The sequence below is a fragment of the Homo sapiens genome, chromosome 15 (genome assembly GCF_000001405.40).
Source record: "Homo sapiens chromosome 15, GRCh38.p14 Primary Assembly".
NCBI classification, from domain to species: Eukaryota; Metazoa; Chordata; class Mammalia; order Primates; family Hominidae; genus Homo; species Homo sapiens.
The window spans coordinates 52,542,132-52,569,901 of NC_000015.10; the positions used below are offsets into that span (position 1 = coordinate 52,542,132).

The window sequence follows — 27,770 nt, forward strand, 5'->3', positions numbered from 1 at the left end:
GTGAGCAAAATCATCATCTATCTGTCTGGAAAGCCATTAATTAATTAATTATTAATATTATTATGATGTATTTTTTAGAGACAGGATCTTGCTCTGTCACCCAGGTTGGAGTGCAGTGGCATAATCATACCTCACTTCTGCCTACACTCCCAGGCTCAAACAATTCTCCTGCCTCAGCCTTCTGAGTAGCTAGGACTACACACCACCACACCACCATGCCCAGCTAATTGGAAAAAAAAATTTTTTTTTTTTTTTCGAGATGGATTCTCACTACGTTGCCCGGGTTGGTCTGAACTCTTGGCCTCAAGCAATCCTCCTACCTCAACCTCCCAAAGTCCCCGATTCCAGGCGTGAGCCACTGCACCTGGCCCCCATTAATTTATGTCTAAAGTTAAATTAAGAAAACAAGAAACAGTGGTATAAAATACTATTGAGAGATATGGAGGCAACTGCCAGAAAAAAAACCAAAAACACAAAATAGTTTGAGTCTTCCAAGTAGTTCTTCCTCTAAAGAGCTAAACTTGGTGGCAGAGAGGTACATTTTGTAATTCTTGGGTTTTCACAATGTCCTTCTATACTATTCACTTCAGAATCACATGCAATAACAATTTTTGATGAAAAAGATGAGAGGAGCAGAAAATGAAGTCTAATGGGAATTTAACTTGGAACCAAGTTTCCGTTCTATCATTCTATTTCATATTTTTTACCCTATGGTTGAGCCCCTGCTTGATGGCATTTGCTGCATTTGGTTCTCTTAAAAAAATAGTTATGGTAGTTAGGAATTTAAACAATGATCCCAAAGAAACCACTTTTACATTTTGAGATCCTTTCTGGATCTTTTAATGTACTTACACGCTTTTACAAAGTTGTAAAGACCCTTCTGAACCCTCAGCACACTTCTCAAACCTCTACCCTCTTCCCTTCATACCCCACCCTGGAAAATGACCTTACCAACCTTTCTCCTATGGATGGGACTCAGGTCATTTAGCAGGCACTGTCCTCTACTGTCCTTTGTCCCCACCTGACCTCTAGTCACTCACCACTGACTGAAAGACATGCTAAGGCTGATCATCCCAGCACTTGCCCTCTTGCCTCCTCTCTATCTTTGGTTTGCCTTTCATACTTTTTGTTTTGCCTATAACCATAATCAAATCTTTCTTACATTTAAAAGTAAAACCAAAAACTGTTTTTTTCTTCTTGAGACAGCATCTCACTCTGTCACCCAAGCTGGAGTGCAGTGGTGTGATCATGGCTCACTGCATCCTTGACCTCCTGGGCTCAAGGGATTCTCCCACCTCAGCCTCCTGAGTAGCTGGGACCACAGAGGTATGCTACCATGCCTGGCTAATTTTTATTATTTTTATTTTTATTTTTTGAGACAGAGTCTCACTTTGTTGCCCAGGGTGCAGTGCAGTGGCACAATCTCGGCTCACTGCAACCTCCACCTCCCGGGTTCAAGCAATTCTCCTGCCTCAGCCTCCCGAGTAGCTGGGATTACAGGTGCACACCACCATGCCCAGCTATTTTTTTGTATTTTTTGTAGAAACGGGGTTTTACCATGTTGGCCAGGCTGCTCTCGAACTCCTGACCTTAAGTGATTCACCTGCCATGGCCTCCCAAAGTGCTGGGATTACAGGCATGAGGTGGGATGCGGTGATGACTGGCCCTTGGCTAATTTTTAAAGTGATTTCTAGAGACAGAGTCTCAATGTGTTGCCCAGGCTGGTCTCAAACTTCTGGGCTCAAGTGATCCTCCCACCTCAGCCTCCCAAAGTGTTCAGATTACAGATATGAGCCACATCACCCAGCCCCTTTCACTAACTTTGAGCTTGGTTTGTTCATGCTTTTCTAGTTCTTTGAGGTGTATTATTAGATTGTTTATTTGGAAGCTTTCTACTTTTTTGTTGTAGGTGTTTATTGCTATAAACTTCTCTCTCAGCACTGCTTTTGCTATATCTCATAGGTTTGCTATGTTGTGTCTTTCTTTCTCTTTCTTTCTTTCTCTTTCTTTCTTTCTTTCTTTTCTTTCTTTCTCTCTCTCTCTCTTTCTTTTCTTTTCTTTCTTTCTTTTTTTGACAAAGTCTTGCTCTTGCCCCCTAGGCTGGAGTGCAATTGGAGTGCAATGGCACGATCTCGGCTCACTGCAACCTCTGCCTCCCGGGTTCAAGTGATTCTCCTGCCTCAGCCTCCTGAGTAGCTGGGATTACAGGTGCCTGCCACCATGCCCGGCTAATTTTTGTATTTGCAGTAGAGACGGGGTTTCACCATGTTGGCCAGGCTGGTCTCGAACTCCTGACCTCAGGTGGTCCGCCCGTCTCAGCCTCCCAAAGTGCTGGGATTACAGGCATGAACCACATTTTTTTTTTGAGACAGGGTTTGTCTTCGTCACCCAGGCTGGAGGTACAGTGGCTTGATCATGGCAACACTCCAGCCTCAACCTCCTGGACTCAAGACATCCTCTCAACTTAGCCTCCCAAGTAGCTGAGACTACAGGTGTGCATCACTACACCTGGATAGTTTTTAAAATTTTTTGTAGAGATGGAGTCTTCACCATGTTGCCCAGGCTGGTCTCAAAATCCTGGGCTCAAGTGATCCTCCTGTCTTGGCCTCCCAATGTGCTGTGATTACAGGAATGAGCCACCTTGCCTGGCTGATATGTTGTGTTTCAATTTTCATTTGTTTCGAGAAAGATTTTGATTTCCTCCTTAATTTCTTCCTTGACTCAATCAATGGTCATTCAGAAGCATGTTGTTTAATTTCCACTGTATTTTTATAATTTCCCAGGTTCCTCTTATTACTGATTTCTAGTTTTATTCCATTGTGGTCTGAAAAGATACTTGATTTTTAAGAACTTGTTGTGACTTGTTTTGTGTCATAACAAACATATGATCTATCCTGCAGAATGTTCCATGTGCTAATGAGAATGTATATTTTGTAACTGTTGGATAACTGTTCTGTAAATGTCTGTTAGGTCCATTTGGTCTAATGTGCAGTTTTTTTGTTTTTGTTTTGTTTTTTTGAGATGGAGTCTCACTCTGTCACCCAGGCTAGAGTGCGTTGGTGTGATCTCAGCTCACTGCAACCTCTGCCTCCCAGGTTCAAGATTCCCCTGCCTCTGCCACCTGAGTAGCTGGGATTACAGGTGCATGCCACCACGTCTGGCTAATTTTTGTATTCTTAGCAGAAATACGGTTTCACCATGTTGGCCAGTCTGGTCTCAAACTGGTGACCTCAAGTGATCCATCCACCTTGGCCTCCTGAAGTGCTGGGATTACAGGAGTGAGCCACCAAACCTAATGTGTAATTTAAATGCAGTTTTTAAATTTTCTGTCTAATGCTGAAAATGCAGTGTTGCAGTCTCCAACTATGATTGCATTAGTGTCTCTCTTTAGATCTAATAATACTTGCTTTATTAATTGGTGCTCCAATGCTGAGTATGTTTAGAACTGTTATATCCTGATAAAATTGATCCTTTTATCATTAAATAATATGCTTCTCTCCTTACCGTTTTTGACTTAAAATCTGTTTAATCTAAGTATAGCTATTCCTGCATGCTTTTGGTCTCCGTTTGCATGGAAAAATCTTTTCCCATCCCTTTACTTTCAGTCTTATATGTGTCGTTACAAGTGAGATTAGTTCCTTGTAGGCAGCATACAGTTGGGTCATGATTTTGAATCCATTCAGCCACTTTACCTCTTTTAACTGGAAAGCTGTAATCCATTTACAAGATTATTATTGATATGTGAGGGCTTATTTCTGTGATTTTATTATTTCTGGTTGTTCTGTATATCACGAGCTGGTGTTGGCAGTTGCTGCAAGGGGCTGGGTTGGGCCAGTCCCCAGGCCTAGTGGTGGCATATTAGGTGGGTGCCCACTGTGGTGGTAGCAGCAGGTTCAACAGGACTGACATCAGGCCCCCAGGAGTCCTCAGAAGTCAACAATGGTGGACTGAGCTGGGTAATCCCCAGGCCCCTGGATGGCATGCTTGGACACAGGATGTGGAGCCAGACTGAGTGGACCTGTTCTCAAGCCTTCTAGTGGTGTGTGCAGGTGCTGACTGTGGCAGGCAGGGGAAGGGTGATCCTCAGGCTTATAGCAGGATGCTTGTGGTGGCGGTGGCAGGGCAGTGGCTACACTGCAGCTCTGACACTGTGGAGGGCAAGGTTGTTTTCAGTTGCAGCAGCCACACCCAGGAGGCTGTGAGCCTGTGCTTCACTCGTCCATTGGCCCTGGTTACAGCAGCCTGCAGTCAGACCACCACAGGTAGGGGAGTTTGTCCTTGGGGCACATGAAAATGCATGGCAGCTTTACTACTGGGGCAGCAAGGTCTTTGCCAATGGCTGGGCACTTCAGCCCTGTAGGTAGCAGCCAGCTGTGATGGTGGCTATTGGTGGTGAACATCAATGAGGTTCTAGAGATGTGGAGATGCAAGGGCTGTAGGGCCTCTGGGCAGGATGCAGTTTGCAGGGCTAAGCTCTCAATATGGTGCCTTGCTGCAGCTGCTTAGGGCTTTGGGTGGGGGGACGGCATAAGCTCCGTCTCTGGAGCAGTATCTTTTGTGGTCTCCAGGCAGCTCCCTATGTTAGTCTTGGGGTCTGCGAGGGTCTAAAGGCTGTCCTGTGGCTGGGATGCAGGAGTCTGTGGTGAGAATGTGGACTTCTGGCAATCACTCATTTAATCTTTCCAGGCCCCCAGAAGATCCTGGCCAAGTAGGCTGCCTTGCTTCCCTCTCCTACCTTAACTGTTTCCTGTCCTTTTTCTGTTTAATTCCTGAGTTCTCTCTTGAATGATCTAGTTGAGGTGTTATCTCCTCACTATTGTGGCTCTTTGTAGAGAAGCTGAGTACCAGATGTCTCTAGTCAGCCATGTTGAAGCCCCTCCTCTGTAATGTTTCACAAATAAGATGAAAAAGACTCACAATCTGCAAACATTTAATCCTACCTTAAGTACAAAGCCTTTACAAATGCAAAAAAAAAAAAAAAATCAAAGATTACAAGTCAGTTTCTTCCTGCATACAGTAATAGCTGAAATGTAAAGAGATCAACTTCAGAAAAAATACACTGAAAAACATACCACTTTAATAAGACAAAACTGCAAATTAAATCAATAGAAATTAGGTAGATCCATTTATTTTTTAAATACAAGTATAATTTTGGAAGGGGTATTTGACAAATTCAGCATTAACTGCCAACTCTATAGACATGTTTTAACAAAAAGCAAAACAAAACAAAACAAAAAAACAAAACAAGGCATTTACTCTTGGCCCTTTCAGTACAGGCGAAGTGTTCTATTGCATCACAAGTGCTAGTGATGCAGTAACAGATCCAAGGGCATAATATTAAATATGTTTTTTTCCAACTGCGATTTAGTTGAAAAATAACATAATACAAACATATATTAATGGCTATCAAGACCAGCAGTGATCTGCAGAATACCTAGAGGCCTACCTAATTAGAAGGTTGAAACTTAGTAAAACCGTATTAAAGTCAGTGTTTTTATTCTTAGATTAACAATGACAGAGTGAGATATCTTTGATTACAATTTTATAAGGTGTGGTGGGGAATTGAGAGGAGACAGATATTGGGGAAGACTGGCAGTGTGTGCTGAGTTAGAGTTGGGAATGTGGCTCAAATTAGTCAATATTGATTAGGATATTGTTTTAGAAAATTTTAAATGTGTCCTAAATTGTGGCATATTGAAAACGATATTAAGGAACAATGACTCATTAGCCCTAAATACAATTTAATGAGTGCCATCAATGGGCTTAAGAAATAAGCAGGGATGGGGGATAGAGAGGCAAAATGAGGTGAAAGAGAAAATGGAAAGTGGAAAATATGTTTGAACATTGGAGAATGTGAAAAGGCCACCAAACTGCTTTAGTTATCACTCAGAAGTGCTCTTCCCATTGGCTACCTGCTTCTGATCACCCAAACACCAATTTTAGAGCAGAGGAGCAGTAATCCCCTTTATCTGCAATTTCACTTTCTGTAGTTTGTTACCTGAGGCAACCTTGGTCCAAAAATATTATGTGGAAAATTCCAGAAATAAACAATTCATGTTTTAAATCATAAGCCGGCCGGGCATGGTGGCACATGCCTATAATCCCAGCACTTTGGGAGGCCGAGGCGAGTGGATCACCTGAGGTCAGGAGTTCGAGACCAGCCTGGCCAACATGGTGAAACCCCATCTCTACTAAAAGTACAAAAATTGGCTGGGCATGGTGGCGGACGCCTGTAATCCCAGCTACTTGGGAGGCTGAGGCAGGAGAACTGCTTGAACCCAGGAGGCAGAGGTTGCAGTGAGCCAAGATCGCACCACTGCACTCCAGCCTGGGCAAGAGTGAGACTCCATCTCAAAAAAAAAAAAGAATAAAATAAAATAAATCACAAGCCATCCTGAGTGATGAAATCTCATGATCTCCTGCTCTGTCCTGCCTGGGATGTGAATCACCCCTTTGTCCTGCTTATCCACACTGTATACTACCTGCCCCTTAGTCACTTAGTAGCCGCCTTGGTTGTCAGACTGAAAAAACATAGTTGATAAAGGGTTCAGTACTATCTGAGGTTTCAGGCATCCACTAGGGGTCTTGGAATGTATCTCTTACAGATAAGGGGAGACTACTGTATTACATTTCAGCTTCCATAAAACTTTACTAATTTGGATTAAGAACACAAGCCTGATTTAGTAAAAAGTATCCATAAATATTCAGAGGTATAGTTTTGTTTCATCAAGTAAAAAGAGCAACTAATTCCAACTGTTGAAGTAGTAACAAGTAAAGGCTTCACCAGGCTTTCCTTGATGAATAGTTAAGACATATTTTTAGGTCATCAGCACAAGATTATTGAATAACTTGTATGCTACAAACATGCCGCTTCCACTCATCGAAACAAGCCAATAATCCTTACTATTCCAACTTGCTGAGAACCATGTCAGATGCTGCGTTCAAGAATGAAATGTTCCTCAAAACTGTTCTATCAAATGTAGTAGCTATTGGACATAAAACAAGTAATTTATTTCAGACTTTAGTTTTCATGAAGTATTTATCAACAACTTCAATTTATTCCAACATTAATTTATGATAGGACAGTTATTAAAATTAACCATTTCTGAGACTGTAACTTTGAAATTGTAAGAAATGGACAATTAAGCTCACTAGTCAAAATCTTGATTCAAGTGATGATCCAATAGCTTACAAATGTCTTCAATAAACTGAGCTTTGAGGCAGAACAAAAAAAAAACAAAAATCTAAAACCTCTCTATCCCAAGCACCAATAATGGAGGCTAAGCAATTATACCTACAAATCCTTAACGACAGGTCTCTCCTAATGAAAAATCCTGAGATTTAAGCACTGTGACTTACAGAAGGCAGGTTGGCTTAATGAGGAAATTTACTTTTAATAAAAAGACAATCAGCAATATTTTATTTTGGGCACTTAGCATTTCACAGATCCTCAATACATTTTGAGGTAGGTCAAATATTAATTATGTATTTTACAAACAAAACTCAAGCAGTTGTTTTATTACTTGTCCCAAACCACAGGAGCAGTTCTATCGTGGTCAGGAATAACATGGTCTCTGATCTTTCAGATTAATCTTTCATGTGTGAATTTAATGGTAATTACTTGCAAATATTCATGAAAAAAACCAAGACTAGATATAGAAATTCTACTCTGGGTTATTTTAAACTTCTTAAATTGATTCTATAATGAGTATATACTTGCTCTCATTACAAATATATATATATAACTGATCTTTACATTACAAATGACCACAGCAGTGACTGTGTTGCTTTTCTGCCTTTTGGGGTGAGTAGATCAGGAAGATAATCAGCAAGCTTTCCTCAGAGCACTAGGCAGCCTTTAACTTAAGGTGCTATGTTTGAGGCACCATTGACTATGATTTGGGGTCATAGGAGAGCAGGTATACTGATGGAACCAGGATTCAGAAAAGATGCCTGGATCCAAAAACGGGAGGCTCTCTGCAAGTCAAAGATGAAGAGAAAAATAGTAGCATCTCAAGCTACTGATCCTGAGTATCATGCTACAGCATTACAACTACTTGTGAGAGGAGCTCCTACAAGAGCAGTAAACTTGTCCCAGTAAAGTCTGCTAAGTTCTAACTAGATAAGCCACAAGTAAAACTAAATTGGTATTTTACTAAAGTGACATCTACAGAAGCAAACATCTAAACATTTTTAATAGGAGTTTTACCTGTCATGTAAATTACTCTAATTGTCACAAGCCTAATTCAATTAGCTTGTCATAATTCCTAAAATAATTTACCAAAATTCAGCTCATCTTGACATAGGTTCTTGAGCCAGTATTCCGAACCGTTTCATTATAAAGTTCCTTTTATTTAAACAATTGTAGAATATTAGTAATAATAAAGGATCAAGAATAGTTAACTTGAGCCTAGGAGTAAGGTTGCAGTGAGCTGTGATTGCACTACTGCACTAGAGCTCAGGTGACAGAGCAAGGCCCTATCCTAAAAAAAAAAGAGAAAGAAGTTAACAACTGAGAAATTAGAAGGAAAACGCCATTATTGTGTTATATAAAAGAGTAAGGATATAGACACCTATGCTTCCATATACAACAAACAGCTCAATACCATTTGAGTCAAAGAACAAAGGGGAAAAAAAAGCAGGTGGCAGAGGGCATGGAATGCAGAGTATTGAAGCCTTTTATTCTAGGGTCTCCAAAACTGAGTGTGGAAGTAAAAAGTTTCTACATTTAAAAAGTTTATATAAATTACATGAATTGCAACTTTCATAAAAATCAAAATGAAAGGTTCTGCATAGGACAAAAGATATGCCTAAGCAACATATCGTATTTGCACAAGGCCACTGAATGTCATGGATATTAGTAACAAATGAAAAGCTTAAGTCTATGGCAGATTGAACTAAGATTTCAGTTTGGTATTCTATAAGCCCGAGATTGTAAACTACTCTTATTATACAAAAGCTATAATGATTTACAGAGTTTTGTGTAGGAACTCTTGTGCTTCTGGTTGGCACATTATCTACTTTTTAAGTATGTGAAATTAATACAGACATTTGTGAGAGGTTGTGCAAAACTACTGTATTTACAAAAATGGCACAAAAGTGAATTCAACAGTTAATGCACATGCATACTTCATTCACATCTTCAACAACAAAAGGTATTCTAACTCTACAGAACTGAATATTAGCTTCAACGGCAGCTGTTAAGCACTAGAGTCACATAAGTTACACCAGAATGGGCAAATATTGCCCAAGTAAAATTCTACTGTTAAAGCTGAAACAGGTTTAAGGCCATTCAAGTTCAAGCACAGAGATACAAATCTTTCAGAGCCCCATCTAGTTGTGTTTGAAATATGTGACCTTTCTTCTAACTTGTGGTCTTAAACTTCTGTTTTACAAAATCCAAAAGGTAAATACAGAAGAAATCAATACAATAGAGATTATATTAAATAAGAGTAACATACAAAGCTATAATTAAGATGAAGTAATGAAAGCCAAAACATTAAAATTTTAAAACTTGCTTGTTACTTGTTAGAACCAGTACTACACTAGAAGTTAGGTAATATATACAACTATTTTCAAGTAGTTTACTTATGTTGCTCTAACATGTCCTCTTCACCAGTGCACTGTTAAACTAATCAAAAACTCTACACACGTATATTCCACAATAGCAGCACACACTACTGCTACCTGCAAAGCTGTCAGTCTCAAATGACTAGTGAATGAAAGGAAATAAAAAGTAGATAAGTAACATATTAAGGAGAAATAATGAGATTTAGCAGATTCATGCAGTTCAGCCTCTTAATCAGCCAGCCAGCTTGCTAGCAACAAGGGACGGCTTCCGTTGAGGAAGGTCTTGCGGAGTGGGAATGTGGTCACCAGTGACCTCCGTCTTATCCGGAGCTGCAGTAGGAAGTTGCTTGTTCTTCATTTTTGCTTTAGCCATGTTGTAATCCCCAGAATCAAAATATTTTTGCTATAAGTAAAAACAAAAAAAATTCAGATTAGAGCTTAGCAATTACTGATTTAAGATGTCGATGCAACCCCATACTGTCCGTATAAGGTTGGTCTAAAAGAATTTAAACAGGAATATTAATTAGATGAAATAGTCTCTGTACTGAGTTCCAGCATAAGTCAACAGCCGAGAAGCCCCCCTTCAGACTGGGCACAGTGGCTCACTCTTGAAATCCCAACACTTTGGGAGGCCAAGGCAGGCGAAACACTTAAGGTCAGGAGTTCCAGGCCAGCCTGGCCAATATGGCGAAACCCTGTCTCTACTAAAAAAAAACAAAAAAAACAAAAAACAAACATTAGCTGGGTGTGGTGGTGCACATCTGTAACTCCAGCTACTCCAGAGGTTGAGGCTTAAGAGTCATGTGAACCTGGGAGGTGGAGGCTGCAGTGAGCCAAGATTGCCCCACTGCACTCCAGCCTGGGCAACAGAGACTGTCTCACAAAAAAAAAAAAAAAAAAAAAAAAAAGAACCTGCCTTCAGGCTTTCTTGAACCATTCTGGTTCTAATAAAGAACCATCAAGACTAATATAATATTAAGCTATTTGGGAAGTCCCAGACTCAGTGAAATAAAATCTTTCATTTACTAATGGAACAACCAGGTGAAACACTTGCTTAAATTATTTTATAAATAAAACACATAATTTGGCTGGGCATGGTGGCTCATGCCTGTAATCCCAGCACTTTGGGAGGCCGAGTTGGGTGGATCACTTGAGGTCAGAGGTCAGGAGTTTGAAACCAGAACGGCCAATATGGTGAAACCCCGTCTCTACTAAAAATACAAAAATTAGTCGGTTGTGGTGGCAGGTGTCTGGAATCCCAGCTACCCTGGAGGCTGAGACAAGAGAATCGCTTGAACCCGGGGTGTGGAGGTTGCAGAGAGCTGAGATTGTGCCACTGCACTCCAGCCTGGGCGACAGAGCAAGACTCTGTCTCAAAAACAAAAAAACCAACCCCCCCATAATTATAGTTATTAAAACTATTATTTACAGTTCCTGGTATTCTGTTATTTAGAACAAGTGTTTCTGCAAGAATTTAAATCATACTTATTTGAACTAGAGCAGTTTACCAAAAATTAAGGTAAAAATATAAATATTAGAGTAATGAAAGAAATAAACTCACTAGAAATTATTACTTAAAATGCATATCCCTACTCCACACCTCCTCCATTTTTCACAGAGAGACATGAAGTATGACTACTGCTTTTTTTTTAGCTGCCCTTTACCACTAACATGCAAATTGTGATGAGAGCTAAACATCAACCTTAATACAACTAACCTACTTGACTTCCAGAGCAAAAACATAAATTTGCCTGGGTTCTAACTTACACCTATCATGCTGAGCCCATCTTTACTGAGTGCCTGCTATATGTGAGGCACTATGTGAGAGCTGGAGTCAGATACAAAGATGGGACAATAGTCAAGTAAATCAACAATTACAATACTGCCTTAAGCACACACAGTGCTATATGGTGCTCAAAGAAGGGGGCTCTAATCTCAGTCTTGGGTTGGCAAAGGAAATAATCCAGGTATGAAACAAGGGCTTGGACAAAGGGTGAAGGGGAAGAAAACAGATAATATTTATGGAATCTTAAGCTAATATCTTCAGGGATACTTCATGTGATAAAACAAAATAGCTAGGAACTCACAGCTTAGTATAAGACTATTGAGTGGCCTGAGGAAAAAGTCTCATTGGCTGCTTTCCTCCACCACTTTTTGATAAGCCAGACCTGGTCTATGGCCCAAAGGCCTAAAGACAGAAACTGCTTTAATGTATTACTGTATATGTACCATACGGAACAGTAACAAGGAACCCTGGAACAGGCCCATCTAAAGCTTTCTGCAGCTTCACTTCTGTATGTTTTAAAATGAGCAGACAGAAAAACCTCAGAATTGTGATGCACTGTAATATATTAAAAAGCTATTTCTGAATTTTGTAGCCTCTAGAGGAGAACAAAGCAGCCTGCCAAATTTCTTATTTTGTCAGAAGCACATACTGAGAAATTTAACACACATGTAAATTTTAGGCAGATTTTCCCCCTATGTAATAAACGCAGTTTCTAATGTAAGTAATTTTATAGTAAGCAAAAGTTCATCACAAGGGGGTCTCAATTAACTGTAGATTAGGCTACTCTGCTTGGGGGAAAGGAATTAAATTTAGTGTGACTAGAGATAAAACTAAAATCAATGCCTGACAATTAGAATTGCCCTAAAAAGGAAAAGGTTACTGCAAAAGGCAGAGATTCAGCAAAGACAATAAAACAACAAAGATGTCAGAGAAAGAAGCTAATGCTTTAAGATAGAGAAGTGAACTAATGTTTATCAAATTGGGATCCACAGATAACAACGATGATGATATGTCTTTAACAATCTCTAAATTTCATGAGTTTGTAATGAAAATATTTAAAAATTAATTATGATCTAGATGACAATCTTATAAAAGCCTCCTCTCACACAAATTTATGGGCCATACTTACATCAGCATTTACAACTACACTGACACTAAGTGATCACCTAAAGTGGTAATGTTCAACTTTAAAGCCATGTTTCTTACAACTGGATTCTCTGTTTTCTAGGGACTTCACAACCCCTACAAATATGAAAAAACAAAACAAAAAGCAAAAAGAAATAAAAAATGTAAAAACAGGCCACACAGCTTCTTGATATCCCTCCCAGCTCTGATAATCTATGTAGTCATGTGTACACAGTCATATTGTTAAAAGCCTAATAATAACATTAACCTCATAATAACATTAATGAGTACAACACAAGAAGAGACCTATTATAATAATCATAATATCTAATCAAACCTTCTCAAATTAAGAAGCTACTTAAAGATGCTAAGGTAATTTGTCAAGTTTGCTAACTAGTGATAGAGGAAAATTAAAACCCAGAACCTGTGATCCAGAGTTTTAAAAAAAATCAAAACTTCATATAAAATAACTTATTCACTGACATTCTGTTATAATACAGAATCATTAAAGAGCTCACTTCTCAAATTCTATCTACTTATTTCTTGATTCAGTAGCATTTTCTTCATTCTCAACTATTTATATCTACAACACCAACTCCAAGATACAATGTATATGAAATCTGACTTGAAGATACTTAAAAATAAATAGTTCAAGCTAGAGAAAAATTACAGTGACAATTGGCCCAATGTTGGAAGAAAGCCTATTAGCCAAGGTTATGCTGGAGATTAGCAAAGAAAATATTTCCTAAACAATAATCAAATCAAAATAATTTAATAGCCAAAGATTAAATAATTTATCTCATAACTAAAAACACAGTTGTCATTCTACTTCTTCTATTTATCCCCTATATTATGATCTTTATGTTCTAAAATAACCACATAATACTATTTTATTGACTTACTTCAATTTATTTAATCATTTCTCTGCTGTTGAATAGTGGTGCTGCTACTAATTATAGTTATAAGCTATAAGGAGGACCTTCCAACTTGGAAGACTTTCCTTGTACTGAATTATACTCTTAGATTAATAAATAAGAGATTATTGATTTGAAGAACATTTTTATAAACCTTAATCCATACCCTGTTCTGAAACGAGTAATAATTTTTAATGTTTAAACACAACAAAGAGCATATTAGTTTCATTCAACTTCAACCTTAGCAATAGGTATTATTTTAAACATTTTTGCAATTTAGTTATATAAATACTATGATGTAATTTGCATTTCACTGATGTCTATAATATATAAACATTTCTCTGTTTTTTATATTTCCTGTTAAAATCCTTTATCCAGGAGCACCTTAAGTGTTTTTCTTGTACACTTAAAAGTTCCCTTTCATATATTTAAAAGTTTCTGTATGTATTTTAGACATTAACTAACATTTTTGTAATAACTTCCCTACTTGATTATATATTTCATGGTACGGGAGTTTTACATCTTCATAAATTTGGTGTCATTATTCCATCATCCTAGTATTTCAAAGCTGTGAATATTATTCTTTCATGTAAGATTAAAAATACCATTCTATTTTTTGCCACTTTAAAACAATCCATATGTACCTAGAGCTAATACACACACAGACGTGTTTTAAGCAAGGAGCCGATATCAGTATATGAATGTATTTAAGGAGAAACATGATTTAGCATCTCATTCAACAATTCTCTTCCGTAAGTAGTATTTCATCCTTCCCTGTATAGTAAGTAATTTGAATATGCTTAAGCTGAAGATGGAACTCTCTAATTTTTTACAGCAAAGGAAGGGGTCACAGGACAATACTTAGGGAACAAACAGGCCAGCATTATCTCAATCTCATTATTGAGAAATAATGGTATCTACCTCGCAAAACATGGCAAGAATTTGAAAATAATATCTTCAGTAATTTGAACTATGAAAATGAAAATGTTTAAATTGTATTAGAGTAAATCTGACTGTGAAACATATTACATAAAGGAGATAGCTGTGCATTTATTAAGTGATCATTTCATCCAAATAAGTATTTTAAGCTTTTGAATGTTGTGTGGGAATCACCTGCAAAAAATATGGAAGTTTCAAAATATGGGCAGAAGGATAAACACCAGCTTCTGGATAGTGGCTGCTTTTGGAGAGATAAGGGAAAGGGCTCATATTTACATATAGGGTGGGTTTCAACAGTATCTACAACATTTTCTTTCTTAAGAAAGATAAAACTGAAACCAACATGGCAAAATATAAACATTAAATCTGGGAAGGGGTATATGGGTTCTGTTATATCTGCACTATTTCTACATGCTTTAAATAGTTTATTATTAAAAATGCTGAAGAGTTGTAGATTCTCACAATGCTTATTTATAAACTGCAAAATATTGGAAAAACCCATTACAGATACATATACACATATGTACATACCTGATAAAGTACAATGCTATACGCACAGATATCCGTTTCACAATCTGTCAGCATACTGAGTTTGTAGGGCTTAAGTATTTGGAAATTACCCATGAGAACTTACCCCTTTCTGCAACCGTTTCCTTAAGAAATCTGAACCTCCAGGCTTTTGTCCCAGATGAGGATATCTTGCTTTTAATTTTGCTTCTTCTGCTTTCTCTGGACTAGTCACTTTATCTTCCATTTCCTAAAATAATTTCAAATAAATTACTTCTCTATTACAACTCAGTTATTTAAAATAATTCACCTTTAAAAATCTGGATTCTGAATTCTAGTTGTTAAATGCCAAGTACCACAGCATCTGACTAAGAAATCAAACCCAGAAGCCTTTAAAACATCTCTATCTTGTTTTTCAAAAGATCCATGTGATAGCTCTATTATAGCTGTGATGCATGTGTAACACCCCACACACTGGATAAAAATATCAAGATAGCTCAGCTCTGAAGTCTTGCTTGCCATTACTTTTCCAGTCATGTATAATACATTTATAGTTAGTCACCTTCTATGGAACTCTTCAGTTCTTTGCCTATATTTAGAGAATCATCCTAATACTGTTAAAATATACAGAATTTTTTCTATTTATCTAAAATTATGTATGATTTGAAGTTAGATTCTTTACTAGAAATTAACAGCAGCCTACTTATCAGTACATTTTTCTTGAATACAGATGATCCTGATATTTGTTTTTTTATAATAAATTTTTAATATTTTTATTATTTTAAATAATAGAGATGGGGTCTTGCTATATTGCCTAGGCTGGTCTTGAACTCCTGGGCTCAAACAATCCTGCCTCGACCTCCCAAAGTCATAGGATTACAGGCATGACCCACCATGCCTGGCCCATCCTGTTATTTTTAAAGAAGAGAAACATCATTTTTGTCAATCCTCACATCTATGTATATCATTGCCTAACTCTCCCCCATGTTTAAAATGACAAACTCTGTTCATGTCAAACATCCTATTCTTTAATATATCAAAAACCTGTTTCCTGACAGAACTATCAATTCTTCCATCTATTCACTTTGAACAACAGTCTTGATTTAGTCTGCTTTCTTTCAAAGTGCTATATTTAATAGGGAAGGAGTGTTTATTACTTCATGGCAAGTACTGCAGAAGAATTAATCAAGAAAAACAGACTGGGCACGGTGGCTCACTCCTGTAATCCCAACACTTTGGGAGCTGTGGGCGGATTGCTTGAAGCTAGTAGTTCGAGACCAGCCTGGGCAATATGGACAAAACCCAACCTTTGTAAAAAAGTTTAAAAATTAGCCGGGCATGATGGTACATGTCTGTGGTTCCAGCTACTCAAAAGGCTGAGGCAAAATGACTGCTTAAGCATGGAAGGTTGAGGCTGCAGTGAGTCATGATCACACCACTGCACTCTAGCCTGGGTGCATACCCAGGTCTAGCGAGAACTTGTCTCAAAACAAAACAGAAAAAAAAAAAAAAAGAAAGAAAAAGAGAAAGAGAAAAAGCTGTACTGAGATAGATAAACCGGGCAGCTGGCAAGGCACATTTTCTAAGTAATGGACTCATTTCTGCACATTAAATCAGCAAAATCACATACCTCTGCCTATCTTGAGCCTTCCAGGTTACTTAGGAATAGTCAAAGCAGGAATGTTAAATCCATAAATGTCAAACCTATGTTCTTATATAGCAAGCAAACCATTTATCTATCTAAGCACTGAAAGAAAAAAAAACTTCATAAAATTTTGGCATATATTTCACTCAAAATTATATTCATACATTAAAAAAAAAAAAAAAAGATGAAGATCCTGTTTCCCTTCCCTTTGTACCCACGGGGGGGAAAAAATTACAGGTCAGGCCATATTGCCCAAACTGGTCTTGAACTCCTGGCCTCAAAGCTATCCTCTCACCTCAGCCTCCCAATGTGCTGGGATTATAGGCATGCACCACCACATCCAGCTCTCATACATGTTTTATAATCAGCTTCATTCACTTTATATATTATCAGTATTTCATCCTGAACTGCTTCTTCATTTGTTGTTAGATCTTCTCATTTTCAGTCTCGGAGAATTTTGAGAAAAAAGCTGCTTCTGTCAAATACTGTTTTCTGTGGAGCCTCTTTTTATGTTGCAGATTCATCCATTTATGTTATCTCTTTACAGTGGCCACGTCATTCACTCACTTGACATGCACGACATTCAATTATGTGCACTTAGCCAGAAATAGAGAATTTAAATAGTGGTGAGTCTACCAGTCATTCCATTCAAGAAGGGTATGCTCCAGAGAGGTAAGTGTGAGGTATGTGATGCAAACCTGCCATTCCCACGTTAGTCTCTCGTTGGGTATCTTGCAGAGCATAAGTACATCAACATGCTGTTTATCATTGCAGTGTTTAAAATCTCAGCCCGTACAATACAAGCCTATTACCTTAGCTAGCACTCAACTTAAGAATCACCCTAGCCATCTAGCCATCTGTTCAAACGCTGGACATAAAAGTGACTACCTGCTCTACTGAGAATTGATGGGGCAGTCTCCAATATGATTATGCCTTCTCTAGAATTTTGTCAAGGGTGATTTTAGCTATATGTGATTTTTTTCCCTTACTAACATTAGAACCTAACCCCATGTAAGATATGACTATACCATATTCATCACCAAAGCCAGAGAAATAAACATAAATGTAAGATTACCAAGTTTAATGTAGGAAGGCGGGCTGAGTCACTGCACAGCTTCGATGTGGCTCAGCCCTCACTGCAGATATCTACTGCAGCCCAAGGGTGTTCTCAGTGCTGCAGTTTAGAAGTGGATGTGGGAGGAGAGGCCTACTCTTGGGTTTCCCTGCACAGCTGGCTTCAAATAATTTTGGCTGAAAAGGATCCCAAGCTAATTGTCACCCTTTAGTCCCTGCACCTTCAAATTAAGGGTGTTACTGGAGTCCTACATTTCCAATAAAAATTCAGCTTTCTTGAGCCTAGGAAGTGAGAGCTCTCCACTTCTTCCTTTGATTTGAAATAGTTCTCCAAGTCTAATAGTTCCCCGAATTCCTTAAAAATTTTTAAAGGAAAATTGTATGTAGGTAGCAACTTACTCTGGTTTCCAGTGTTTCTGCAGGTTTCCTCCATTTGATATATAAAGGAAAATACCTTGTACACAATCCGGGCATTCCCTTATTTTCTTTTTCTTTTTTTTTTGCCATGTTGGCCAGGCTGGTCTCGAACTCCTGACCCCAGGTCATCTGCCCGCCTCGGCCTCCCAAAGTGCTGGATCACAGGCATGAGCCACTGGGCCCAGCCGCATTCCCTTGTTTTCTTAATAAGGAATACATTGATATATCATATTAAGCATGCTTAATTAAATTAAAAAATGTTTGGGTAAAACAGCATCTATGAGCTGCAAATGTCATTTATATTTAGAATGAATTTATAACATGTCTTAGAAAAAAACAAGCCGATTCTTGAACTTTCTTGCCAAATACATAGCACAACTGAAAGCCCCTGCTAGCTGCAACTTCCTAACTGGATTCAGAATTTCAGTTGGATTTAACAGGGGGGAAAAGATGACCTAATCTAGATTTTTAAATGTGGTAAACACCATTAAGACTTCCACAAAAGTTTTCATGAATCCTACAGAAACATTCTACAGAGCTAGGCAGTTCTAGGACCTTAATGATAAGTTAGTTCAAGTGCTTGGACATGCATTAATATTCTGACAGTTACTGAGTTCTTATTAGGTTCTGTCAACGGCATCTATGCCAGATTAAAAGGCATGAGAGAAAGAATCCATTCTGCTCCTGGTGATGCCACCACCAACAGCAGACAGCAGTCGCCCCTGTGAGCTCCTACAGAGGGACATATGGCAGATAAACAGGGGCTCTAGTAGCAGCTACACGACAAGGGAGGCAGACGATGGTGGACTCTGAACAGTACTCATCCTTGCAGGGTCAAAGGCTTTCTGTAATCCTTACCTCTGGAAACACCATCTTCCTCCCTTTTGTTCCTCTATTCCTTCTAATAATTTGTAACCTTATTCCCTAAAAATCATATTCCTTCCTTTTTAAAAACATGCAAAGTGGTTTCTGCTCCTGTCTCCCAACAGGACACTGATAAAAGCAGGTAAAATAAGCGATTTATCCACAGTCATGTTCAAAAATGCAAAATAGAACACAATTTGATGTGACTCCACGTTTCTGGACCTCAAGGGAATTCCTAAACATTTACTTAAGCTAGAATGAAAACAAAGGGGAGATAAGCCAATAGTTATTTATTTGTTTATTTTTTCCAAAAAGAATCACAGAAAGATTAAATCATAAACTAATCAAGCTTTGGGTTAAATAGGTTAGGATGTAAGGGATAAAGGACAGGAATGACTATTACTAAACAAAGAAAATTGGTATATACATACACATATACTGATAACAAGTCAATATTGTAATTTTAATATCTTTATCATGTGGAGTTAAAAAAGAAAAGAATACTATAACAGTACCATATTTTTAGTTTAAGTGTTCTATGGTCCTGTATAATTTAGAAAAGGGTTTATAATCTTAATTTTTACATCTTGTTTAGTTAAGAATGCATGAAAAATTTCAAGGGGAACCAATTAAATAGCAGAAATAAAAAGGAGTGTTGGGGAGAGCAAGAAAGGAAGAAAAATAAAAAAAATTTTAAATACCAAAAAGAAACCAAACATAAGGAGAAACAAATCCCAATATGTTAATAACCACAATAACCATACTGAAGCAACAGACTGTCCATTTAAATCCAGTGGCTGGATTAAGGAAAAAAAAAAAACCTAGCCACTTGTGGAGTACACATTTAAAAAAATCTAAAAACAAGGACATAGGTTGAAAGTAAAAAGACTGAGGGTGGGTGGTGGTGGTAACATACCAGGCAAAAAATCCTTACCAAAACAGAGCTAGTGCAGTGCACCTACTTTTTTTTTTTTTTTTTTTTTTATTAAGATACATGGTCTTCCTATGTTGCCCAGGCTGGTCTAGAACTCCTGGCCTCAAGCAATCCTCCTGCCTTGGCCTCCCAAAGTGCTGGGACTGCAGGCGTGAGCCACTGTGCCACTAATAAAATGGCATGAAAATATACAAAGCAAAAACTGACAGAACTATAGGGAGCAACTGACAAGTCCACTACTATGGAATTCAACACAGCTTCCTCAATTATTGATAGCTATAAAAGATAAAGTAGTTAAGATACTTGATTTTAATTTTACATCTAACAATTAGGGAATGCATAGTCTTCCACAGCACAAATGGAAAAACTGACTAATACTAGGCCATAAAGCAAATCTTAACTATTTTCTTCCAGACCACCATCTATGACTGCAATTCATTAAAGTCAGTAACAACAAAAAAATTATAAATCTCTAATATTTAGAAATTAAAAACATACTTCTAAATAATTCCTGGTTAAAAAAGAAAGCACGAGTATTTAAAAAAAATAGGAGTTCTAGACCTACCCGGGCAACACAGTAAGACCTTGGCCTTTACAAAAAAAATTTAAAAATTAGATAGGTGTCGTGGTAGATGCTTATATGCCTATAGTCCTGGCTGCTTGGGAGGCTGAGGTGGGAGGGTCACTTAAGCCTACCCTGGGAGACAGAGTGAGACCCTGTTTCTTTAAAAACAAACAAACAAAACCCTACACATACCAAAACTTGTCAGGTATAGCAAGTATCTCTCAAGGGCTTATATCAGAGAAGAAAGCTAAATCTCAATGAGCGATGCATCCAATTTAAGAAGTTAGACAAAGAAAGGAGCCCAAAGAAAATGGAGAAATAAAAAGCAGAAATTAATGAAAAAGATACAATAGAAAGGGCCAACAAAGGGGGTGGATATGGCAAGCTTAAGAAGTTTTTTTTTTTTTTTTTTTTGAGACAGAGTCTCACTCTGTCGCCCAGGCTGGAGTGTGGTGGCACGATCTCGGCTCACTGCAACCTCCACCCCTCCCCACGCTGGGTTCAAGTGATTCTCCTGCCTCAGCCTCCCGAGTAGCTGGGATTACAGGTGCCCATCACCGCACCTGGCTGATTTTTGTATTTTTAGTACAGACAGGGTTTCACCATCTTGCCCACGCTGGTCTTGAACTCCTGACCTCGTGATCCATCTGCCTCTGCCTCCCAAAGTGCTGGGATTACAGGTGTGAGCCACCGTGAAGAAGTATTTTTTATGATTCAAATCTGGTTTTGAAGTTTCATTCTCCAAGAAGCCTTTGTGTTACACAGCAATTTTACTACATTTTAAAAATAGATGCTGTAATGTAAATGGATTTACTTAGGTAAGTAGCTTCTAAATTGATAATAGGGTCCGCAGAAGGCAGAATTCTGAACTTTTGGCTATTGGCTACAAGCTGGGAAAGGAACCCCAGGATATGGTAACACAGATACATGTTTACACACAGATACATGTATACGATGTATGTATCCAAAAAACAAAAACAAAAATCTTAAGAACAGTATTTTTAATAATAGTTATTGTCTCGGCATGTGCATTTTTGTGAATTGTACCACTGAAATACATCAGAAATCCTTTCTGTGAATAGGTGGGGTATAAGTTATAAATATATACACGTAAAAAGGACACTCAAATAACTAAGGATTATTTTGTAGTCTATTATACACTGAGCAGAATTATGTCTCAATGACTGATACCACTTTTCAGCCTTCGGCAGAGGAGGGTTATACAGCAACGTCAGCAATAAAAATCTGACCACTCTAAGCAAATTCTCCTCTATCTGCTCAGCAACATGTTGACTGATGCACTGATTGACGAATAACTAGAAAGGATTAATGAAAGCCAACAAATCCTTTGGGATACTGCCAGGAAGGTACCAATACTGTATCAAGCTCTATGGAAAATTACTGTTGTCATTCTATTAAGTCTTTGTTTGCCTAGTGCCTAGCATTTAATGAATGTTCAATAAAAGTTCATTCATCTGAATGAAAAAATACAATGTACTTGTTTCCATAAAGCTATAAAGCTAAGAAACTTTCTTCACACTTGAGGATTTCACCATCAGCTCATCTTTAATATTTTATGTTATAGTAAACACAGCTTCTGGATTAGAAGTTAAGTATTCAAGTCTTGCACAAACAAAAGAAGCAACCCTAACAAACTGTTGTATCGCAAACTGCTAAGACGGCTAAGAGAAACATTTAAAAACTTTTCTGAGGTTTACCTCTAGGCTGTTAGGAATCGATGGTTGCAGAGACCAAGGGAGCATGTTGTGTTCACTCTGAATAGAAATAGAAAACATGGATGAGGCGGTTGCTCACACCTGCAGTCCCAGCTACTTGGAGGCTGAGGTGGGAGGCTAGGTGAACCCAGGAGTTCAAGGCGGCAATATGCTATCATTGTGCCATTGCACCCCAGCCTGGGCGACAGAGTAAGACCCTGTCTCAAACATAACAAAAACATTCTTCAGCCTTTAGGTAACCAAAAGTAGTTGTCAAAAGAGCTCCTGAAAATACCAATATGAACTCCTATTTTTAAAATACTGGAAGCATGGGAAAACAATTTATATCTCTTTATGGTTGATATATTAAAATAATGCAGATAAAGGTTCTTTTCCTCTTCTACCACTCATAAAGGCACCAACCTGTATCTCTTACCTGACAAATAATTTCATTGACAGCTTTCCTGTGGGTATCCTTTCCAAGACATATTAGTTTGGTGAGTCTTATAACCTCTAGAAAACTTGCTATTGAGATCTTAAAAAAAAAATTAAGGCCACAACACAAACGAAAAAATATATACACACATCACTGTAGTTTCGTTCAAGAGTTCTTAAGTGGGTCTAAGCTAAGGTTTTCATCTTACCATGGTCTATTCTTCTCTGTGGTACTAGCATTGTCATTTGTTTTGAAATAGTACTTTGGCAAAGGTTTTAACAGAAAAGTTCTGAGGAAAATCCATTCAACCATTTTGTAAATAATGTCAAGCACAATGTTGAGTGCTGTGAGAGAACAGATATATAAACCAGGGTCCCTGAGCATAAGCTGCTCACAGTGCAATTAAAATTACCATCTTTTTTTTTTTTTTTTTTGAGACAGGGTCTCCCTCAGTCACCCAGTGGCGCCATCAAAGCTCACTGTGGTGCCATCAAAGGTCCCTGTGGTTTTGACCTCCTGGAGGTCAAGTGATCCTCCCCTCAGCCTCTGGAGTAGGTGGGACTACAGGTGTAGATTTATTATTTTAGAGACGGGGTTTTGCTATGTTGCCCAGGCCGGTCTCAAACTCCTGGCCTCAAGCGATCTTCCCACCTTGGCTTCCCAAAGTGCTGGGATTACAGGCAAGAGCCACCCTGTAGGGCCAGAATTATCTGTTTTAAGTTTCCACTTGCCTCTTCTCCCCTCCAGGACTAGTACACATGCCTTAGCTTACTGCTGATAGATTCATGAGATCTGTACTCAAAACTTTTAAATGTTTTGTTTTCACTTCAGTGGTTATCTCAAAGGCAAATATAAGCATATTCTGGGGAATCTGAATCACCACGTTGCATCTAAGTAGTGCTATGTGGGTTCTGCATCTGAGCTTTCTTTGACAAAGACTCAGCAGGTTACTCCAACTGTCCAAGAAAATGAGAAAAGAATGGAGCTGAACTTAAAATGTGATTGTATCTATGACTCTGGAAACTTAGTGACCTCATAGTTTACTCTTAAAAGGGGAACTGAGCCACCACATGGCCTAGGGGAGTGTTTACTTGACAAACTCAAAAACTCCCTCAACTTTTAACAATTGCTGCCATATTCCAAATACATTGGAAATTTAGTTTCAGCAAAATACCAAGCACACAATCAAAAATTTAGACTGGCTTTGTTGTATTTAATCTGTTTTAGTTTAAATTTTATTTTATTTTTTTGAGATGCAGTCTCACTCTGTTGCCCAGGCTAGAGTGCAGTGGCACGATCTCGGCTAACTGCACCCTCCGCCTCCCAGGTTCAAGCAATTCTCCTGCCTCAGCCTCCTGAGTAGCTGGAACTACAGGTGCGTGCCACCACACCCGGATAATTTTTGTATTTTTTAGTAGAGAGGGGGTTTCCCCATATTGGCCAGGCTGGTATCGAACTCCTGACCTCATGATCCGCCAGCCTCGGCCTCCCAAAGCGCTGGGATTACAGGTGTGAGCCACCGTGCCCGGCCAAATTTTATTTTATTTATTTTCTGACACAGAATCTTGTTCTGTTGCCCAGGCAGGAGTACAGTGGTATGATCTCAGCTCACTGCAACCTCTGCCTCCTGGGTTCAAGCAATTCTTATGCCTCAGTCTCCCGAGTAGCTGGGATTATAGGTGTGGGCCACCATGCCTGGCTAGTTTTTGTACTTTTAGTAAAGACAGGGTTTCACCGTGTTGGCCAGGCTGGTCTTCAACTCCTGGCTTCAAGTGATCCACTCGCCATGACCTCCCAAAGTGCTGGGATTACAGCTGTGAGCCACAGCACAGGCCTTTTAAATTTTTAAAAAATATTTTAAAAGTAGCTCACTGTAGCCTCGAACTCCTGGTCTCAAGTGATCCTCCCACCTCAGCCTCCCAAGTAGCTGGGACTACAGGCCTACAGACATGCCACCACACCTGGCTAATTTTTATTTTATTTTATTTTATTTTGTAGAGACAGAATCTTACTATGTTGACCAGGCTGGTCTCAAACTCCTGGCCTCAAGCAATCCTCCTGCCTCAGCCTCCCAAAGTGCCAGAATTATAGGCAAGAGCCACCACGCCTGGCTGTTTTAGTCTTAGAGTGGTATACAAGTTAAGAGATAAGAGTTTATACTTATTTTTTATGTTTGTACATATTGTTTCCTAATACAAGACAGGAATCTATCTGGTTTTCTTCTCTTACCAAGGGTGCACACACCACTCAAGATAGAGAAAGTGACTTAGCTTTTACTCCATGCAAGGCCCAGCTATCTACCTTAATTCTTTAGCGGCAACAGGCAACCTACCAGTAAACTATAAAGGTATTTTTAGCTGAATACTTTGGCTTTAAGTGGAAGGTCAATTGGGTACACAGACAATAACTTAATTTTTTAGGTCATCGAACTGATCTTCCAAATAGAAGAAACAGGTGATTTGGCCCACAGGAACACAGAAGTGACTGTGCACATTTTCTTCATGGTTAGGGACACCATCCACGCCACAGGCACTTAGCATTTACAGCCAATCCTCAATTTAAGAAGGAACATTATATTCCTAACACACTTTGGTTGATTTTAATGACAGCAGCTAAAACCAAAGCACCTTAAATGTTTAATGTAGACAATCAATAAGAGAAAACGTTCAAGCTATCCTTAATATTGTTAAAAGATACATTAGGCTTTTCCAAGTAAAAGTATTTACACTCTAGAAGTCAATACTGCATACTTTGGCAACATACTAACAGAACTTATCAAAGAAAATTACATAGCACACTACTGTGCACCAGAAGTTAATGCTAAGTTTGATGTAAGTGTTTAAGGCAAACCACCACAGACAGGGACTTGTTATTTTTGGGGGCTCCTAAATTTCAAGCAATAATGAACACAATACGCATTTTACAATAAGCAGGTGATACTTAATAATACTGTTAAGATTGCAAACTTTAATATTTGTATTTTTGCCCCCAAAATCCATTTTTTTGGTAATGCGTAAATATATCTATTTTCACGGGATATTCTCAAATAATGTGGTAACTTGGACTTTTACCTATGCTATATGTTTTCTTGTTTTTCAATTACTTTAACATCCTAACAGAAGCACCCAACTTAAGAAAAGTTAACACGGTTTTAAGAACATATGGAATGGGCTTAGAACACTAATCCAATTCCCAACTTAATTAGGACATAAGTGCAACATTAAGCAGAAACCCGCACGAAGGTCAAGCAGTAGACCAAAATCGTATTTAACGGCAACACAACCTGATTTGTAAGAAAAATTGTTGATAAACAATTTAGGAGACAAGATACCTCGGCCCTTTCTCACTTCTCGGCCAGTCACACCTGCCTAGGAGGGCAGGGCGGTGGAAATAATTACAGTGGGAGAGACAAACACCAGCCTAGATAAATACAAAGGCTTGATATTCATAATTTGAACCACAGTGACACTCCCGGCCTATTCCCCTACATCAGGAAGACACAAGGGCGTTTACAAAATATTCCTGTTTCCAATAAAACCCTGATTAATTTCGTGAGTAAAATTTTAAAATTCCACCCTTTCGATTTTTAGTCAAGTACCATATTTGAGTCCCATCGACTGAAACCTTTTTGAGCACAGACTGCGCTGCACACTACACCTGACTCACCTCCTCTAGGCCTCACCCCGCCGTGGGAGGCAAGCACCAGTATTCGGCCTTTACAGGTGAAGACACTGAAGGCCGGACTTTACTCACTGACCATGGTTACAAGGGTTGGCCCTGAAATGCCAATCCTGGCCCACATCGCGGCCCGCACACGAGGCACTGCTTTTGGAGTGAACCGCACGCTCACAATACAAGTAGTTGGAGAGTTCTTCAAAGGAAAAAATAAAACTTCCTAACCAAATTGAGGCTTACAGAAAAACTTAGGCTCTACGCCCAAAGCCTGCGTCCTGGGCTCTCGCGTAAATATAAGTGACTGAGGAACACCGCGACCCACGGAGGTGTTACAAAAGGCACGATTCGGAGTAAACGCGGGGCACGTTGGAACTCCCAATTCGTCGGCGCACCAGCCAGCGACGGCGGGAAGCCAAAGGTGGGGCGCAGGAGCCTCGGCCTCATGCGCCTCGGCCCCGCATCTCGGGCGCGGCCCTCCGCCTGGCGGGAGCAGGCCGCCCGCCAGACCCGGCCTTGGGCAGGGCCCAGGGCTCACGCCCCGCGCGCTCACCTTCTGCTCCTCCGCGGAGGCTGCCTCGGGGACTTCCGCAGACATAGTGCTCCCTCTGCAGACGAGACGCCGGGAAAAGATGCAATTAGCGGGTGGCCGAGGCCACCCGGCCGCCGCCCGTCCCAGCTCTCCCAGGGCCCGCCGGGCCGCCTCCGCCCGCGAAAATGGCCGCCGCCTTATGACGACACGGAGCCGCGAAACGCTCCGCTGGCCAAGGCCCTCGCACGCCGGAGCCCGCCTGCCCCTCCCGCACCGCACCCCTACCTACTTGACCCCGCTTCTCCCGCTCGCTGTCGTCCAAACACTTCCTTTTTTCCTTCAAAGGTCGCCGCTCCTGCCTCACCTCACATCCGTTTGTGGCTGCCGAGTGCTTCCTGGGAATTGTAGTTTCTAAGTGGAACCGCCCCTCCCCGCCCTTTCCTGTCCACTCTGGTCCCCTCGTTCTAGGAGCTTTATTTTACTCTTTCCACTTACCCATCCTCGCCTAGTTCTGTTCTCCTCGCTCTCCGCTCTGTAGCCACACAGGCTGTCTTTTGGGCACGCCAAAAGTCTTGCTCCACTCTGCCACGCCTTCACATCTCCAGTCCTACGTCTCTGCCTCAGAACCTTTCCTTCCTAAACCTCTACACTAGGCCAGAGCCACCTCTTAAAGGCTGTCACAGCCCTGTACAGTTCCTCAACAACATGAACTGTATCATTACACAATTGTCGTGACTTTAGGTCACCTTTCCTTCTCAGATAAGCCGCACCAGGGCAGGGATCTCGTCTGTAATTACTTATATTTTACTCTGAGGGTCCAGCACTTCCTAGATATCTAACGAAGGAATTCAGATTCATTTGTCCACTCCCAGGGGGTCCACTCCCACAAGCTTACCGAAACTGCTAGCATTGAGCTCCCCCAATGACCTTTTTATTTGCCAAGTCCTGCGGCTTCTTACTGAATCCTCATTCTACTTGATATCTGAATAGTTACTCGCAATGTTTGTTGGTTCCAACAAAGTGTCCCTCAGAAACTTGGAAATAAGATTGCCCTCTAAAAGTTAAACTAGTAAAA

General features: G+C 39.5%; 1 protein-coding gene across 10 annotated transcripts, besides 6 other annotated features; it reads right to left on the bottom strand.

The window, feature by feature from the left end:
* Window positions 3,825-4,326: an enhancer, noted in NCBI's record as "H3K27ac hESC enhancer chr15:52838153-52838654 (GRCh37/hg19 assembly coordinates)". NCBI's record gives its function as "activates a minimal SCP1, AML or CMV promoter by ChIP-STARR-seq in primed H9 embryonic stem cells {active_cell/tissue: H9 hESC(primed)}" and the evidence as "EXISTENCE:reporter gene assay evidence [ECO:0000049][PMID:30033119]".
* On the bottom strand, window positions 4,914-27,315 carry ARPP19 (cAMP regulated phosphoprotein 19). Of its 10 annotated transcripts, NM_001306191.2 has the most exons (6): window positions 27,191-27,315; window positions 26,985-27,090; window positions 26,717-26,771; window positions 22,059-22,115; window positions 14,969-15,091; window positions 4,914-9,973 (listed from the first exon to the last, which is right to left on the bottom strand). In NM_001306191.2, exons 3-6 carry the CDS (start codon window positions 26,759-26,761, stop codon window positions 9,803-9,805), a joined length of 396 nt encoding a protein of 131 aa, NP_001293120.1. In that variant the 5' UTR covers window positions 26,762-26,771; window positions 26,985-27,090; window positions 27,191-27,315; the 3' UTR covers window positions 4,914-9,802. The 10 variants fall into 10 exon arrangements, with proteins under 10 accessions (NP_001293120.1, NP_001425009.1, NP_001425010.1 ...); NM_001438080.1 differs by lacking the exon at window positions 27,191-27,315 and having other exon boundaries at window positions 26,981-27,023; NM_001438081.1 differs by lacking the exons at window positions 26,717-26,771; window positions 27,191-27,315 and having other exon boundaries at window positions 26,985-27,023.
* Window positions 25,750-26,498: an enhancer, noted in NCBI's record as "H3K27ac hESC enhancer chr15:52860078-52860826 (GRCh37/hg19 assembly coordinates)". NCBI's record gives its function as "activates a minimal SCP1, AML or CMV promoter by ChIP-STARR-seq in primed H9 embryonic stem cells {active_cell/tissue: H9 hESC(primed)}" and the evidence as "EXISTENCE:reporter gene assay evidence [ECO:0000049][PMID:30033119]".
* Window positions 26,499-27,245: an enhancer, noted in NCBI's record as "H3K27ac hESC enhancer chr15:52860827-52861573 (GRCh37/hg19 assembly coordinates)". NCBI's record gives its function as "activates a minimal SCP1, AML or CMV promoter by ChIP-STARR-seq in primed H9 embryonic stem cells {active_cell/tissue: H9 hESC(primed)}" and the evidence as "EXISTENCE:reporter gene assay evidence [ECO:0000049][PMID:30033119]".
* Window positions 26,599-26,698: a silencer, noted in NCBI's record as "silent region_6448". NCBI's record gives its function as "represses an Ori minimal core promoter by ATAC-STARR-seq in GM12878 lymphoblastoid cells {active_cell/tissue: GM12878}" and the evidence as "EXISTENCE:reporter gene assay evidence [ECO:0000049][PMID:35858748]".
* Window positions 26,769-26,828: a silencer, noted in NCBI's record as "silent region_6449". NCBI's record gives its function as "represses an Ori minimal core promoter by ATAC-STARR-seq in GM12878 lymphoblastoid cells {active_cell/tissue: GM12878}" and the evidence as "EXISTENCE:reporter gene assay evidence [ECO:0000049][PMID:35858748]".
* Window positions 27,299-27,428: an enhancer, noted in NCBI's record as "active region_9432". NCBI's record gives its function as "activates an Ori minimal core promoter by ATAC-STARR-seq in GM12878 lymphoblastoid cells {active_cell/tissue: GM12878}" and the evidence as "EXISTENCE:reporter gene assay evidence [ECO:0000049][PMID:35858748]".

Coding starts and splice junctions, on each gene's coding strand:
- ARPP19 (NM_001306191.2), bottom strand. CDS start 26,761: ATGTCTGCGGAAGTCCCCGAGGCAGCCTCCGCGGAGGAGCAGAAG. Junction 15,092..22,058: donor CGATTCCTAACAGCCTAGAG/GTAAACCTCAGA, acceptor AAATTATTTTAG/GAAATGGAAGATAAAGTGAC. Junction 9,974..14,968: donor GGAAACGGTTGCAGAAAGGG/GTAAGTTCTCAT, acceptor TTTTACTTATAG/CAAAAATATTTTGATTCTGG.